The sequence below is a fragment of the Homo sapiens genome, chromosome 6, assembly GCF_000001405.40.
Source record: "Homo sapiens chromosome 6, GRCh38.p14 Primary Assembly".
Classification (NCBI taxonomy): Eukaryota; Metazoa; Chordata; class Mammalia; order Primates; family Hominidae; genus Homo; species Homo sapiens.
Window position 1 is genome coordinate 17770764 of NC_000006.12, and position 17917 is coordinate 17788680.

The window sequence follows — 17917 nt, forward strand, 5'->3', positions numbered from 1 at the left end:
CTCTAGGTAGATTAACTTCAGAATCTAGGCAATATGTATAGGCACATTAGAAAGATTTTGGTATTAAAAAGATCTCTTTGTTACACTTTTTATAAAGGCCAGAAGCAATAAAAGTGCCTTTCTCCCTTTTTCTAAGCAAACTTAAGCAAAAAATAAATAAATAAATAAGATAAAATTGTAGGTCATGGCCACATCCATGCAAAATATCATTACCAATGGTCACATTTTTATTTTCTTTAAGACAAAGACCCAATACATGTCTTAATTTCTTCTAGCATTTGGATGATTGTCTGTGAAAGGGCCTTAAACCCACCACCAGGCAATATGACAGAAATGGTTCCGGAACTTACAATCTTCTTCTCACGTTTGCTATTGTGTTCTACTGGCATGCTGCTGCCATTGCTTCCTGAGGGTACAATGCAGCCAGGGTTATGTGCCTGAGGTGGAGGCATGCTCTGCAAAGGTTAAGACACACAGATGCATCACACACAAAGACGACAACGGCCAAAATACATATTAAGTACATGCAAGTTAGAAAAGCAATGCTAACACTCTTATTACATGTGAGTAATGCAGCAGCCAATTCTGCAGGCCAGAGTTAAACTACTGGAGAGATATGACAGGAATAAACAGATTCTGTGGCAAAAAGCATAATTAGTCTTATTTAAAAAACAGCCTTTTGACCAGGTACAACGGCTCATGCCTGCAATCCCAGTGCCTTGGGAGGCTGGGGCAAAAGAATCACTTGAGGCCAGGAGTTTCAGACCAGCCTGGGCAACACAGCAAGACCCTATCTCTATAAAAAACAAAATCAGAAATCCCCAAAAAGACAAAAAAGAAAAATAATTTTAAAAAAGGCCTTTAATCTTTTCAAAACACCTAGAAAACATCTTTCTCACTTGAAACATAAAAAAATACTTTGAAAAGCCATAAACACAAAGAAATAAAACCACAGCAGCAACAACAAACAAGAGATTCTACCATGACTCTGCATGCTTGAGAAAGAGGAATTCGAGAACGGGAACCATGGAGTGATGACCGTGCATGTCCACATGCAGCACTCAGCTTGTTAATGCACACTGCTGCTTCACAGGTGACACAACTCTGCTCTATTCTGCATAGTACAGACAAGTCAAGCATTTACCTCCTGGCTTAGAAGAGGCCTTGCTTCCAGGGCTATCCTTTTCTTATGCTCCTCTTTTACAGGCATTAGGGGCTTGAAAAACTTTGGTGGCTGAGGAGAGAATGCTTTAAAAGGGCTGACGGTTAAGGCATGAGGAGTCTCTGATGTACAACCTAGGGAAGATGAGAAGTTATGAGGTTACAGATGCTGAACACTTTAAGCAAAACATAGGAACTGAGACAATGACCCAGCCATGGGAATATCTGGGAGAACAATGAAATTCATAGGCTAATATTTGGCTAAGCATTAAAACAGATGTATGCCCACCCTGTGCAACATAGGGACACCAGTCTGTGAAAAAAAAAATAAACAGATAGCCAGGCATGGTGGTGTCTACTTGTTGTACTTGCTACTCAGGAGGCTGAGGCGAGAAGATCGCTTGAGCCCCAGGGGTTGAGGCTGCAGTGAGTTATAATGGTGCCACTGCACTCCAGCCCGGGCAAGAGAGAGAGAGGGAGACCCTGTCTAAAAACAAAACAAAAAAACCCCACAAACAACAAACAACAAACAAAAAAACCCCCAAAAAACCATGGAACAGATGTAGGCAAGAATAGACATAAATCTGTGATGTCACAAAGAGTTACTACAGTGCTAGTCTGTGTGAACAAAGTGAGATAGCAAATTTCTACACTCTTTTCAAGATCCAGCTTAAGCACCACTAACCAGACCAATTTCAGCTCACGCTGATTTTCCATTCCTCTGAATTCTCACAGCCCTTATTATCTGCATGTTCATTTTGGCACCTTATCATTTAACATCTCATTTTCTGTGTATCTTATTTCCATAGTTATAAGACAGAAAGTAGAGGCTCAATAAATATTCAATGAATTAATACTGTGTAAATTTTCTTGCGAGCCTCTTTTTTTCCCCCTCAGGCCACCCTGCTATATATGACTAAGGGAGGACAATTCTTCTTCCTTGCTTGTATCATTTCTTACCTTTTTGGCCTCTTTCCTCCCTTTCCAATTTGTTAGTATAATGGCGAATATACCTTATATTTTACCTACTAATATAAGGTATAAGGTAACAGAACCGATATATATGGCCAAAGAATACTGTTCCCATTAAGGCACTGGTAGACTGTATAATTTAGGTAATAATGTCACCATGAATCAAACTCATTTTGGGTATCGTTTTTGAAAACTGCTTTATGAATCAAAGTCATGTTCTTTTAAAAATTCCTTTGAGTACACAAATATGACAGAGCTGGATATTCTGGTAGAAAATAATAGGATTTGTATGTGTCTCAAAACTGGACTTGAAAGTCAGGAAATGATGACAAAAAATGATTCAGAAGTTCTAAAGTAATACACAAAAAGTCTATGATTATTTGGGTGATATGTTGGATACAAAACAAAAATAAATCAAATAAGTGAATGTTATATGTTACATTCAATAACAGTTTTGTATCATCTAGTTAACTAGAATATCAGCTTCATATCTTATTATATGCCATTAATGAAAGACATTTTTTCATACTTTTTCTAAGTAATTACAAAGAAATATCACTGCAAAATAATCTCACCACTACCTTCTTTATTCCTTCGAGGAGAATCCCTGGGTAAAGTTCCATAACATGCTACATCTTGGTAACTGGAGCTATAGTCAGACATGTCCAACTGGTTCTCTGGCCAACCCTACAAGGTAAAAATATGGGTTAACTGTAATTGAATCACTCCAAAATAAGAAATAAAGCCCAGGTTGGAGTTTCTTCTGTTTTTTTTTAATGGCAGCATATGCTCTTCTTTATTTTTATTATGATTTATTTCAAATATACAGAAAGGGCTGAATATCGTAAAAAATACTGTCATATCCAAGGTATACCCGGAGTGAATACATGTTAATATTTTATTATATTTGCTCAAGTTTAATAAAATTATTACAAATGTAGTGTGATCTTTTGGTCCCATTCATCTTCCTTCCTCCCCAGAGGTAGCTACTTTGAGCAATGTGGCATATACCCAGAGTGACTTGATAATTTAATGACCAAACTGAAACACTCTCAAAGGACAACTGTTCCATTAGTAATTCTGCCTGGGTAGAAGGCACAGCTGAGACTGTCCAAGGCAAATTTGGCAGTGTGGTTACTCTACCTATATTTGAGATTTAAAAGTTTCAAAGAGGCATAAAGTATTGGTATACAAAACAGAGAAAACGCTGGCATATCATACGAGCTTACTTAATCTTATGTCAACTTATCAGGAGTTGATTGCCTCTGAAGACTAAATTTTAAACTTCTTAAGGACATAAATCTGTGCTTATACCTTTTGGATCATCTAGTCTCTAGCATAGTAACTCATATATAATATGTATTCAAGAAATATTTGTTGAATAAGATCATGTTGCAATCTGTCCTTAATTTTAAATCCCCTCTTTTACCCATTGAAATAATTTTGATTATGCTATGGTGGATGTAACACCTTCTCCAATCATTTAGAGTTAAACCCATAAACACACAGATATCTATTCAATTATGTGTGGTACTGTCCTGGTATGGAACCTATCATGGTAAGTAACAATGTAATACTGAAAGTGCATAGCAATTGTCTGGGCATGGTGGCTCATGCCTGTAATCCAAACACTTTGGGAGGCCGAGGCGGATCGATCACCTGAGGTCAGAAGTTCGAGACCATCCTGGCCAACATGGCGAAACTCCATCTCTACTAAAAATACAAAATTAGCCAGGTGTGGTGGCAAATGACTATAATCCCAGCTACTCGGGAGGCTGAGGCAGGAGAATCGCTTGAACCTGGGAGGTGGAGGTTGCAGTGAGCCAAAATCATGCCACTGCACTCCAGCCTGGGTAACAAGAGTGAAACTCTGTCTCAAAAAAAAAAAAAAAGAAGTGCAAAGCAATATCACATCAAGTATTTGAACCTGGAAATGGAGTTGTGGAGAGAGTTATTTGCTTACAATTAAGATGGGAAGCCCAGAGATTTTTCTTTTTCTTTTTTTTTAAACTGACAGGATCAACCAGGTGAGGCCCAGAGATTTTAAAAACACCAAGATCCCACAACTTTCCAGACTAAGATTCTACTAAAAACCTAGCCATGCCCATAGGTGCATACCTTGTCATCTTCATCAAAGCCAGAAAGGTCCGGTCGGCTGGAAGAGACCTATAAGAGAAGAATGGTTTTAGCAATGTGGTTTATATATTTAATATAAGGGGTTTTTTTTATATAAAGAAACAGAATGTCACAGTTGAAGCCTGCAGTCTTCATTCTTCTCCTCCTCTTTCTTCCCTCTCCAGGAGTAGTGACTACTCTCAATTTGGGGTTTATCATTCCCATATAAGTTTTATATAATTGTATGTGTATATACTCATAACCAATAGTTAACATTATTTTGCATATTTTATGCTTCACATAAGTGGTATCTTACTATATATGGTCTTATTCAATAGTCTAGTCAAGTATTGATATGTGTACTATTTTTAGTATCATTTAATTCTAAATACAACCTGTATATTTATGAGAATCTCTAGAGTATATATCTAAGGGATGTAATCTCTGGGTTGTACAGGAGTATATTTTGACTGCTTTTCCATACAGGTTTTAGAATCAGCTTATCAAATCTTACAAAAAATTCTGTTGAGAATGATTAGCTTAAGGACATGCCAATTTTTTGATACTGTGAATTCTCATCAACGAGCATAGTAATAGTCATTATTTTAGTATAGTCCTTCTTTTTGGTGATAGCTGTATTCAGGTTTTCTATTTCTTCTTGATTCAGTTTTTACAGGACATTTCCATTTTATTTAAGCTTTTACATTTGTTGGCATAACATCAAGTTATGAGGTCTCGCTATGTTGCCCAGGCTGGTCTCAAATTCCTGGCCTCAAGCAATCCTCTCGCCTTGGCTTCCAAAAGACTTTACTTGATCAGATTGAGGTTGAAAAAAATATTTTTTTTTTTAGATTACTTCATAAGCAGTTTTTCTTCACTTTTTTTTTGAGACAGAGTTTCACTCTTGTTGCCCAGGCTGGAGTGCAATGGCGCAATCTCGGCGCACCGCAATCTCCTCCTGGGTTCAAGCGATTCTCCTGCCTCAGCCACCCGAGTAGCTGGGATTACAGGCACCTGCCACGATGCCCAGCTAATTTTGTATTTTTAGTAGAGACCGGGTTTCTCCATGTTGGTCAGGCTGGTCTTGAACTCCCAACCTCAGGTGATCTGCCCACCTCAGCCTCCCAAAGTGCTGGGATTATAAGCGTGAGCCACCGTGCCCGATCTTCTTTACTTTTTAAGCTAGATGTTTACCTAATTCTTTTTTACTCTACTTTTTAATATAAGAGCTATATATTTCCTAATAGTAGCCCTCACTCTCTCATTTTTTCTACTGTCTAGTATTCTGCTTTATACAGAATTATAGGGAATTTAGGGCTAATAATTTCTAGGTACCACTTTAGCTGCATTGCACAAACACTGATCTATGTATCATTTTTATTCTCATTTAGTTCTAAATACATCCTAATTTCCATCATAATTTCTTCTTTGAGAAATGAGTTCATGAAAAGCGTTTTTCAATTTACAACTATATGAGTCTCTCTTATCTATTTCTAATAAATGCATTGTGGTCAGAAGAAGTAATCTGTGTGATAATAATTACTGGGATTTGCTCTGTAGCCCACTGTAGGACAATTTTTGTAAGTGGCCACCATGTTTTAAATAATTTTCTGGCAATTCTAGAGAACAGGAAGGCAAATAAGCCTGTGTTTTTCCTTGGAAAGACCTTACTTCTACTCAGCTGCTTCTGGGAAGTGGCTGCTTAGAAGTGCTCCATGCACTAATCTGTCCTATCCCTCTGTGACAGTGTCCCCCCTGCTAGGATCAGTTTCTGTCAATTGGATTTTCTAGATTAACTGGTTGAGAAAAATAACGAAAATGGTCAAAGGAACAACTAGGGACTCCAAGAGTGCCTACATGCAGTGGCTGACTCCTTATCACACTGATGGTGGCAGACTCAGAGCCACCAGGGCAGCTAGAATGGGCACAAAAACTGACCCTGGAGCAGCCAGCGTCCAGGGACTCGGGTGCAAGTATTCATAGCTGACTCCACCATCTGTAACCAACTAAACTCAATTTATATCTTAAGGAACTTCTTTCAAGGAGATAACTTGCTGAACAGGAATTCATAAGATTGAACAAATGGCTCAGTCTTAGACAACTGTGCTGCCTGGTGTGTGTCCCTGGTACAGAGAAGCAGGCTACACTTTGGGATGCCCACACCAGTTCCATAAGCTCTACTGCCACTGTGTGAATCCCACCTTCCCCCACCCCAGAGGCTGCGACATGTCACATAGGAGCAGATCCTTGGCAGGATGCACTTACATTATGAACATTTGGTGTACTGAGGCTCCTCCGAATGTGCCGGGCTTTGGTGGAAAGTGCTTCTTTGACTGTGACGGCCTGTAAACATAATAATTTGAAAATAACACTTTTTTTTTTTTTCCCCAGAGACAGAGTCTCACTCTGTTGCCCAGGCTGGAGTGTAGTGATGCGATCTCTGCTCACTGCAACCTCTGCCTCCTGGGTTCAAGCAATTCTGCCTCAGTCTCCTGAGTAGCTGGGACTACAGGTGCACGCCACCACACTCGGCTAATTTTTTTTTGTATTTTAGTAGAGACGGGGTTTCACCATGTTGCCCAGGTTGGTCTTGAACTCCTGAGCTCAGGCAATCTGCCCACGTCGGCCTCCCAAAGTGTTAGGATTACAGGCGTGAGCCACCGCACCCGGCCATTACTTTATTTTTTATTCTAATTATAAAAGTAACATATGTTTATTTATAGATTTAAATATAGACTGCATCAGTTCTACATACATACACATTTATAAAACTGAAATATTATTTTACCCACTTATTATTATTTGTTTAGCAATTTATCAAAAATATTTTTTTTAAGATAAATAAAACTGCAGGGTGTGGTGGTTCATGTCTATAATCCCAGCACTCTGGGAGGCTGAGGCAGGTGGATCACAGACAGGAGTTCGAGACCAGCTGGCCAACATGGTAAAACCCTGTTTCTACTAAAAAATACAAAAATTAGCTGGGCATGGTGGTGGGTGCCTGTGGTTCCAGCTATCTGGGAGGCTGAGGCACTACAATTGCTTGAACCCAGGAGGCAGAGGTTGCAGTGAGCTGAGATTGTGCCACTGCACTCCAGCCTGAGCGACAGAGCAAGACTCTGTCTCAAAAATAAATAAACAAATAAATAAATAAAACCAGGAAAACAGCAGAATGGAAGACATTTATGTTGTGAAATTTTTATACAGGTGGACAGAGAAAATGTAGAAGAGGTACTTCTAACTATGTATCTCATTTGCAAAATGACAATGAAGTGTGATGCTGTTTGTATTTTACTCATGCAGCAATTCAGGTGGGATTTCCACTAAGGGAAGATTTTTCTGACAGATGCCAATTACATTCCTCCTATTAATCAACACCTCCCCCAATAATGTCAACTATTGCTCCTATGAAATGACATATCTTATCTTATAGTTGCATTACTTAGTGGATTATTTTCACTTGAATGACCTGTTGTCACCTCAAAAGTTAACTCAGGTCTAAAAATTAGGGAGATAGTAAGTCTGTGTTTAAGCATATGTGCTTTGGAGTCAAGCTACTTGGCTTTACATCCGACTTTGTACCACTTCCTAGCTGTGTAACCATGGGTGAGTTAGCTAACTTCTATCAGCCTCAATTTTCTCATTTGAAAATGGGGATTTCAACAGTACTTACCTCAGGGGGTTATCTTGAAGATTAAATGAAATAATATACCTAAATTACTCAGGCTCAGTGCTTGGCAAGTAGGGGTTATTCAATAAAAGTTAGTCATTATTTTTATTTTGGTTACTATTTTGCCAGAGTCCTTTCAATAGAGATGGCTCAAGTGCTCCTTCTCTGATAGATTTAGTGAGGTGTTTGGTAAGTAAATTCATATCTGTCCATTGGGGGTGAAGGCTGGTGCTTTCATCCTCGGTCCAGATATTCAGTTACTTGCCTGCCGGAGCCGTTCAAGACTCAGAATGTTTTCCACCTGCAGCACGCCTCGAGTGTACTTCTCAATGTACGTCTCCCCATCTGATGTGCCTTCGTTTTCACTCCTTGCTGCCAGGAGAGCCAGCGTTTCCCGGTCCTCTATCTCCTCAGTTGCCTACGAGGACAGGAAGGAAGTGACAATACTTTGATGTGAACAACGTTTTCATCCAAAGTGTGGTGAGAAAACGTTTTAGAAGTCTGGAGAATGAACACATTCTCCATTATTTAGATACTGATATTTTTTAAAGTAGCATATATATATATATATATATATTTTTTTTTTTTTTTTTTTTTTTTTTTTTTTGAGACAGAGTTTCGCTCTTGTTGCCCAGGCTGGAGTGCAATGGCGCGATCTCGGCTCACTGCAACCTCTGCCTCCCAGGTTCAAGCGATTCTCCTGCCTCAGCCTTCCTGAGTAGCTGGGATTACAGGCATGCGCCACCATGCCCAGCTAATTTTGTATGTTTAGTAGAGATAGGGTTTCTCCATGTTGGTCAGGCTGGTCTCGAACTCCCGACCTCAGGTGATCCACCCGCCTCGGCCTCTCAAAGTGCTGGGATTACAGGCATGAGCCACTGCGCCCGGCCTAAAGTAGCATATATTTTACCTTTGGTATATTGGATACTATTTCATAGGTTACACCACAGGAATAAAATATATTTTTCAGGGATATTCTCCTCTTCAAACTCTGCGTGAAACTCTAGTAGAAAAAAAAAAAAGCTGTATTAAGCTATGTGACAAATGTAAGTTATTTTGTATTTTTTTTTTTTTTTTTGAGATGGAGTCTCGCTGTCGCCCAGGCTGGAGGGCAGTGGCGCGATCTCGGCTCACTGCAGGCTCCGCCCCCTGGGGTTCACACCATTCTCTTGCCTCAGCCTCCCGAGTAGCTGGGACTACAGGCGCCTGCCACCTCACCTGGCTAACTTTTTTTTTTTGTATTTTTAGTAGAGACGGGGTTTCACCGTGTTAGCCAGGATGGTCTCGATCTCCTGACCTCGTGATCCGCCCGCCTTGGCCTCTCAAAGTGCTGGGACTACAGGCGTGAGCCACCGCGCCCAGCCAGTTATTTTGTATTTTACAAATTGTAGAAGCATTACAAGTTACTATGTTTTTGAAATGCAGAATACTCAGCATAACAGAAAAAACTGAAGCTAAGAATCCCTGTCTCCAACCCCAAGGGATACTAACGTCCAGCTGTTAGTTGGGAATTTGACTACAGAATCTGCAGCATGTTCAGGATTTCTGTGGTTGCTTCTCTCTCCCATCTGCTGCCTTCCTGTGATCTCTCCAGGGCTTAATCAGTCTTTCCTGAGATGGCTAGAACAACACTGGAGAGGATCAGTTTCACTGACAGCACCTCTGAGATGGGATCCGTCAAAGCAGTAGGATAGGGATTTGTTTGGAGTCTGCCTTTTGTCCTGGTTTTGTCACTCACTTGCTTGGACCTGGCACTTAATCTCTCAGCCTCAGTTTTTCTACTTTTCAAACAGTGAAATATCACAGCTCCACTGCCTGGTAGGATTACACCTCTCCAATCAGTCAAGGTGAAACTGCCCTTACTGGATGACATTGACCTCTGCTATCCTAATGCCCACTACCTTGGATAAATGAGAATCAGACTATAACTTGGCCAGGATGGTCATGTTTTGCACATCACAGCACCAAAAAACACTGCTTTGTGATAGAGAGAGGGAAAAATCTTTTGAGCTCAGAGCCAGAATGGCACAATCAGGCCCCGTTATTACCTGTTTGTTGTAAATATTGGCTGCAATTCGTTTTCGTAATACTAACTCCATAGCAGCAGGGTGGCTGAGTTGAACTGTGGTTTTCACAATTAGGTAAATCCTTTCATTCTGTGGTGTGACCCTATTCAAGTGAACAGAATCATGCACCGAGGAATCCCAAGAGGCTGTGGCTGAAACCTAGGAGTTGGGGAATGATGAGGAGATGGAAACAAGACAAAAGTCAGATGTAGCAGTTTTACAGGACATACAAGAGAAAGAAAATAAATTCAACTCACTGTAATCAAATAGATTTCTTTCCTCACCTTTTTTAAACAGCAACACAAATGTTCTATTTTTTAAAGTCCCCGGTCTTTTTCCCCAAAGCAAACCATAGCAGTTTAGTGAGCAGGCCCACAAGCCTTGTGTGCTAATCTGAAGCCTTTTAAGAGAAACTTGGGGGTTAATTACCTCATCATCACTGTGCTTTATGATGGGCAGGTAGAAAAACTGGCTGCCATGCTCCTTGGGCAGGATGGAGTTCACGCCGGATGCATGGGGGCCAACAAGCTGCTCATTGGCACTGAGGTCATCCGCTAACCACATCAGGAGCACAGAAAAAACAGTAGGGGAAAGTCAGTTTTTAAGCAAACACCAAAAATTTAAATATATGCTTTTTACAGTTGAAGTTTACACATAACACATTTTTCTTTTTTCTTTCATTCCTTATTCTGCAGTTGAAATAGAGACTCCAAGACTCACAACAGCTTTTTTTCTTTTTTAAAAAATCATTATGTTTAATAGAGATGAGGTCTTACTATGTTGTCCAGTCTGGTCTTGAACTCCTAGGCTCAATGAATCTTCCTGCCTTGACTTCCCAATGTGCTGGGATTACAGGGGTGAGCCACTGTACTTGGGTTTTTTTTTTTTTTTTTTTTTTGAGACAAGGTCTTGCTCTGTTGCTGATGCTTGAGTGCACGGCCTGATCATAGCTCACTGCAGCCTTGAACTTCTGGGCTCAAGAGATCCTCCCACCTCAGCCTCCTGAGTAGCTAGTACTACAGGTACACACCACTATGCCTGGCTAATTTGTAAAATTTTTTGTAGGGATGGAGTCCATCTTTGTTGCCCAGGCTGGTCTCCAACTCCTGAACTCAAGCAGTCCTCCTGCATGGTCCTCCAAAAGCCCTGGGATTACAGGCATAAGCTCATCGTGCCCCACAGCTTTTATTCTTTTTTTGTTTTTATTGAGATGGAGTCCCGCTCTGTAGCCCAGGCTGGAGTGCAGTGGTGTGATCTTGGCTCACTGCAACCTCTGCCTCCCAAGTTCAAGCGGTTTTCCTGCCTCAACCTCCCGAGCAGCTGGGACTACAGGTGTGCACCACCATGCCCAGGTAATTTTTGTATTTTTAGTACAGACGGGGTTTCACCGCGTTGGCCAGGATGGTCTCAATCTCTTGACCTCATGATCCACCCGCCTCAGCCTCCCAAAGTGCTGGGATTACAGGCATGAGCCAACATACCCGGCTGCTTTTATTCTTTAAAAATACAACAGGAGCCAAAAAGTTGCCTTGTGAGTCTCCTATAAGATGGAATGAATATATTCTTTGTTGTCCTAGGTACAAATATATTCATTAAACACACCTCGGAGGCTGAGCGCAGTGGCTCACGCCTGTAATCCCAGAACTTTGGGAGGCCGAGCTGGGTGGATCACGAGGTCAGGAGTGCAAGACAAGCCTGGCCAAGATGGTGAAACCCCGTCTCTATTAAAAATACAAAAATTGGCCAGGCATGGTCGTGGGTGCCTGTAATCCCAGCTACTTGGGAGGCTGAGGTAGAAAACTGCTTGAACCCGGGAGGCGGAGGTTGCAGTGAGCTGAGATCATGCCACTGTACTCCAGCCTGGGTGACAGAGTGAGACTCTGTCTCAAAACAAAACAAAACAAAACAAAACAAAACAAATCTTAGAATTTTGCTGCTTTCTGAGGTCAATTCCTCCTGTAAACTGTTAGGTTTGTTGTCCTACTTAATAACTTACTATAAATTAGAGATTTTAGCAATGAAATCAATTTAGAATCAAAGTTCTGAGCACTTGGGAGAAATATGAAGATTATCTTCTTCCAACATCCTATCCAATATGGGGTTCGCCCCTCACAAATCTCTGTAAATGGCCAACTAGTCTTTGTTTATATACCTCCTATGACAGGGAACTCACTATCTTATGAGGCATACATTCAACATCTAGGCTTTAAAAAAGAAATTCTTCACATGAAGAGCCAAAGCCACCCTCCCTGTGTCTTCCATCCATTATTTTGGGCTTCCTTCTAGAACAGAGGTTTTCAGGCTGTGTTTTGAGGAGCCCTAGGGCCCTGCCAAAGGATCTACCAGGATCCTGCCCACTGCAAACTCAGCAACTCTGCCGTTGTTTTCTACACATGGGGTTCCAGTTAATATTTCGTTTAGAAAAGGATTGTTCTGCTAAAGCACATTGGAAACCATTGTTCTAGACTTGCCCAGGTTCCATCTAATTGCAATATGAAGGACAACCCCTAAGGCAGGGTTATAGTGTGATCACTTCTGCCATCAAAACTATTTGAGGAGAGTTAAGGGCACTAGTCAGAGATGCAGATTCATAGGCCCTTGCCAAGCCTAAAGACTCAGAATCTCTAGGGGTGATTACTTTCCAGGGTAATTTCTATGTCCACTGTTTCAGAGCAACTGTGCTAATGCTCGTGCATGCAGTTCTCAATCACCCTATGTGCTCTTTTTTTGATTATCCACATATCATGCTTATATACGTTTAATGAGAACAAAAATGTCACCCAATTTGGCACATGAATGATTAGAAGAGTGATTTAAGGATCAAAATAATGTGAATCTGGATAGATTACAAACCTTAGTTAAATACAATAATCCCTGTGACTTTAAGTGTCTACTTACCATTCAAATCGAGGAAGAGAACTGGTATGTGGGTTTCCATTCCAGGAGGTGGGATCCTAAATTTAATAACAACATTTAATCATAACAAAATATGTATTTTACATCTTGTTAGCTGATAAAACACCACAGAGCTGTGGAAGCAAAGAGAACCATGGTGGAGATGCAGTTTCCACTAATGAAATACTTTCATATTTCTTGACTTCCCTGTAGACATAAATCATGGGAATTATATGACTTACATAAAAGAACTTCCAGTTATATGAGTTACATGTAATTAATTGAAACAAAGATGATTTTAAGCCTTTCTAAAAATAATTCCCATGAGAGGTAAAGGGAAGGGGGGATGTTGTTAGGGTGGTAACGGGACAGGATCAGAGCCTAGAGGAAGTAAACAAAAGCTCAAAGCTCAAAGGACAGAATGAAAGATGTGTGAAAGGAGGGAGGGTTGTGTACAGAAGAGACCAAGCAGTGTTTTATCAAAAACTGGCCCAGGGATGGGCATGGTGGCTCATGCCTGTAATCCCAGCACTTTGGGAGGCAAAGGCAGGAAGATGGTTTGAGGACTGGAGTTCAAGACCAGCCTGGGCAACACAGGGAGATCTTGTCTTATAAAAAAAAACAAAAAAACACTAGCTGGGTGTGGTGGCACAGGCCTGTGGTCCCAGCTACTTGGGAGGTGGGAGGATGGCTTGAACCTGGGAGATCGAGGTTGCAGTGCACCAAGATCGTGCCACTGGTACTCCAGCCTGGGAAACAGAATGAGACCCTGTCTCAAAAAAACAAAAAACAAACAAAAAAACCCAACTTGCCCAGCTGCATCAGAACCGCCTCAGAGGCCTCTTAAAGTGAAGAGTCCCTTTAGAAATGCAAATTCTTATTTAAAAAAATAAAAAAAGAAGAGTCGTGGGTCCTTCCTTTCTCTTCTGAATCAACATAACTAGGGATGACACCCAGGCCTACATGTTACAAACACTCAAGATGATCTGAAGTTTGAAAACACTTTACACGAGAGAGACTGAAGTAAGGAGACAAACTGTCTAGAGAGGGCTTTGAGGGCCAGAACAAGATTGGGGTGAGTAGGCTGTCTGTAAGAAGTGGCTGGCAGAATTACCGCAAGAGACCTACAGGATTCCAGCACAACAGCAGGAACTGCAGGGAGAAACATCAGGTTATGAATTATGTGCCTGCAGATTCAGAGTCTCTAGTTTCAGAAAACAGACCACGAAACTGATTACTTTTCCCTTTATCATTAGAGATGCAGGTATTATCACTAATGTTTCTATGCCAGTTCAAAAAAGACTATCTGGGCATGTACATTCTGTGTTCAAAAGGAATCTGATTTCTCTTAAATGCCCTGGATATGTTATAATAAAAATGAGAATGAGAATAAGCAGCAGCAGCTAGGATTTAATGAATGGGTATGAAAGGTGTTTTATACACATTACAATATACAAGATAGTATTATCATATATAAGGTATTTTATATACATTATCTCTAATTCTCACAATACTACCAAAAAAATAGCTCCACTAATATATTTTCTGTCCTATTCAAATACTTTCCAGCCAAGATAAAAGAGTTTCTGGGCATCAGGGAACAATGTCCAAGTTGCTTATGCAGAGGAACAGAGGAGTGGTATGTGATTCCTGGCCAGGTAATCAATGCTCTCTCGCTTCCTGTGGGAGAAAGTTGGCTTCGGTGGGGAAGGAAAAAAAGGGATGGAAGCATTAGAGATGAGTGGACATTCCCTAAGTAGTTCAGCTGGTTGGCATTTTCTGTGACAATCCTGGAAAGTCTCTTGCATGGCTCTTGCCACAGGCGACCTGTACCATCTCCCCAGGTCTGCACAGAAGGGAGGGCAGCCTTACCAGTCGGCAGGTGCCCCAGGAATCCCACTGCCTGGGGCTGGCACCAGCACAGCATTCCTTTCCTCAGTCAGCCCTACCCACTGCTCCACAAGCTGGGCTTCCCGCTCCACATCGTCCTCTGTTTTCTCTGCAGAAAAAAATGAGGAGATCAATGCCAACAAGAGAGAAAGTATGACTTCTCAGTTTACAAGGAATAGATTTCAGCCTGGGCAACATAGTGAGACCCCATCTCTACCAAAAAAAAAAAAATAGTTGGGCAGGGTGGTGGTACGCATGCCTGTAGTCCCAGATACTCAGGCAGCTGAGGTGGGAAGATCACTTGAGCCTGGGAGTTCAAGGCTACAGTGAGCTATCATCACATTACTGTACTAAAGCCTGGGCAACAGACAAGAGACCCTGTCTCAAAAAACAAGCAAACAAAAACAATAAACAGATTTCACTCAGTGCTATCTATAAGTGGTTTAACCATCCACTATGTCCCTAAAATGGATTTGAGTCTTTGAAGTTCAAGCAAGAGCATGCATAGGGAGCTAAGAGGGGCTTCAACACCAATTTAAGGAACTGCAAGCCAGAAATAGCAGAAAGAGCATTGGAACAGCAATTATGAGACTGAGGTTATTTTACTGGTTCTGTAATTTGGGGAAGTTATCCAACAGATGAGTCTCCTTAACCTGTCAAACAGGGATAAAAGAAGTCGTATCTACTTCATGTACTTGCTGGAAGGATCAAATGAAATACGGATGTGACACTGCTTTATAGAACTATACATGATGTTACAAAGACAGGATTAAAAAACACCATAGGCCGGGCACGGTGGCTCACGGCTGTAACCCCAGCACTTTTGGAGGCCGAGGTGGGCAGATCTCCTGAGGTCAGGAGTTCAAAACCAGCCTGACCAATATGGTAAAACCCTGTCTCCACTAAAAATACAAAAATTAGCCAGGCGTGGTGGTGGGCGCCTTGTAGTCCCAGCTACTCAGGAGACTGAGGCAGGAGAATTGCTTGAACCTGGGAGGAGGAGGTTGCAGTGGGCCAAGATCATGCCACTGCACTCCAGCCTGGGCGACAGAGGGAGACTCCATCTCAAAAATAAAAATAAAAAAATAAAAAACCCACCATATATCTTACTCTGTAAAATCACCTTTATTTTCCTCGAGGCTTATCATGAAAGGGATTTTATCTGATATACTTTGAAATCCTCTTATTCATAATTCAACTCTGGGGCTCCCTGGGTACAGTCTAAGTGAGTTTTCATTAGCAGCCTGAGCACACACACAAGGCGACATCACATGTTGAGCCAAGGTGTTTTCCTGAGGGAGACTTTCTGCTAGCTTCTACATGAAATGGATTAACATGCATGATGTGTATGTTCTTTGCTGCAGAACCAACCACCGTGAGTGGACCATGATGTCTGGATGACAGACTAAGGATTTTAAGTGCATATTTCTACTCTAGAATCCAAGTGGCCACTGCTAGCATAAGCAAACTGCACCCTTGGAGCTGAGTGGCAGTGAATAGAGTTGTAGGGGCCACCCTGAACCAGCGGAGTGCATGGCAATGGCCCAACAGTGGATAGGTGCTGACCTGCTAAGCGGTTTGGTTTCAGAAGTGACCCTTCAGCTGCTGTATGTCCTAGGTCCTGGTGCCTAAAGTACCTTGTATTGACATACTGGTATTGATCACATTTGTGTTCATCAAAACGAAATTTGAATTTGACATTTAATGTCACAGTTTTATGAGATAATTCTGAGTTTTATGAAAACTTACTACTTTCAAATTTGGAGGCCTCTTAAACCAACAATGTATAATATGATTGACTGATGTCTATAATTGTTACAAGTTCACAAAACTAAACAGGCTGGGCGCAGTGGCTAACACCTGCAATTCCAGCAGTTTGGGAGGCTGAAGTGGGAGGATCACTTGAGTCCGGGAGTTTGAGACCAGCCTGGGCAACAAAGTGAGACCCCATCTACAAAACATTTAAAAATGAGCCAGGAGTGGTAGCTTGTGCCTGTGGTCTCAGCTACTCAGGAGGCTGAGGCAGGAGGATCTCTTGAGGCCAGGAGTTAGAGGCTGCAGTGAGATATGATCCTGCCACTGCACTCCAGCTTGGGTGACAGAGTGAGACCCTGTCTTAAAACAACAACAACAACAACAACAAAAATAAGATACTACTGTCCAGTTAGGGGAAGAAAACGACCTACTGCCATTGTGTAAAAGTGAAAAAGCTACTCCCCATAAAAGAGTTTGATCTCACATACCTGTTTTATTGCTGACTTTTTTTATCTGTTCATCCAGGTATTCTCGTCGTTTAATGAGTGCATCTGACCACCTCTCCCTTACGCAGTTTAAGTCTTCTTCCTAACATCAGGGAGGGAAAATATTTTCCTGTAGACTGCACAGACAACGATTTCTTTCTTTCTTTTTTTAAAAGATGTTTAAATCAACTAGGAAATTTTTCATTAGGAAAAGCTGTTGAACATTGCTGTGTGATTAATATGCAAGAAAGCAGAGAGGCCTCAGTAACACTGCATGTTGATCAAGGATGCTGTTACCCAGAAATCAGAGCCCCTGGATCTCCAGAAGGATAATTATACTTAAAAGCAAGACAAGCTCAAACTATACCAGCTGTCAGATTTTTTTTACAATGAGTGTATGTATATTTAAATCGTAGCTATTCATTGCAGGATTTGTGATCCCAAACAGAAGGACAGCATGAACAGAGCCCAAACCAAGTAACAACAAATGGAATGGAAAATGACAGGCATTTTCATAGCTCCATAGTTCAGTGGTCTGATAACATAGATTTTCTGAAATGCAAAGAGTAGGTCAGCAGAGAACTTTTCAAACTTGCCACAAACATTTTACTTCCAACCACCACGAGGCTAAGCAAAAATCTCCCATGCAAACTCCAACATGCAGTCAGCCATGCTTTAAGAAATCCCCTAGGCAGCCATTGGACTGCACTGTGAAAAATGTGCCAGGAAGCGCACAAACAGCCGCAGGACGTTAGTCAATGGCATTGCTGAGATTCAAGGGGATACTGATATTTCCCTTAAAGGTTTTTCTTCGTGGAATTATGAGTAGGGAAAGAAAATCCATCAATTCTATTAAAAATGCTCTTTGACTTGCCTAATTCTAGTTTAAGACTTAAGACGTTACATCA

At 41.2% G+C, this 17917-nt stretch overlaps 1 protein-coding gene across 4 annotated transcripts in view; it reads right to left on the reverse strand.

The window, feature by feature from the left end:
• Positions 1-17917, reverse strand: part of KIF13A (kinesin family member 13A) — a 228510-nt gene that overhangs the window by 11638 nt on the left and 198955 nt on the right. For 3 of the 4 annotated variants that reach the window (NM_001105568.4, NM_001105567.3, NM_001105566.3), the window contains 11 exons: positions 17013-17112; positions 14752-14878; positions 12883-12938; positions 10414-10538; positions 9967-10143; positions 8829-8921; positions 8184-8336; positions 6514-6591; positions 4252-4299; positions 2715-2820; positions 1145-1296 (listed from right to left, as the gene is read on the reverse strand). In NM_001105568.4, coding sequence (NP_001099038.1) covers positions 1145-1296; positions 2715-2820; positions 4252-4299; positions 6514-6591; positions 8184-8336; positions 8829-8921; positions 9967-10143; positions 10414-10538; positions 12883-12938; positions 14752-14878; positions 17013-17112 — 1215 coding nt within the window. Of the gene's footprint in view, positions 1-350; positions 456-1144; positions 1297-2714; positions 2821-4251; positions 4300-6513; positions 6592-8183; positions 8337-8828; positions 8922-9966; positions 10144-10413; positions 10539-12882; positions 12939-14751; positions 14879-17012; positions 17113-17917 lie in introns of all 4 variants that reach the window. The other variant, NM_022113.6, reaches the window with a different exon arrangement.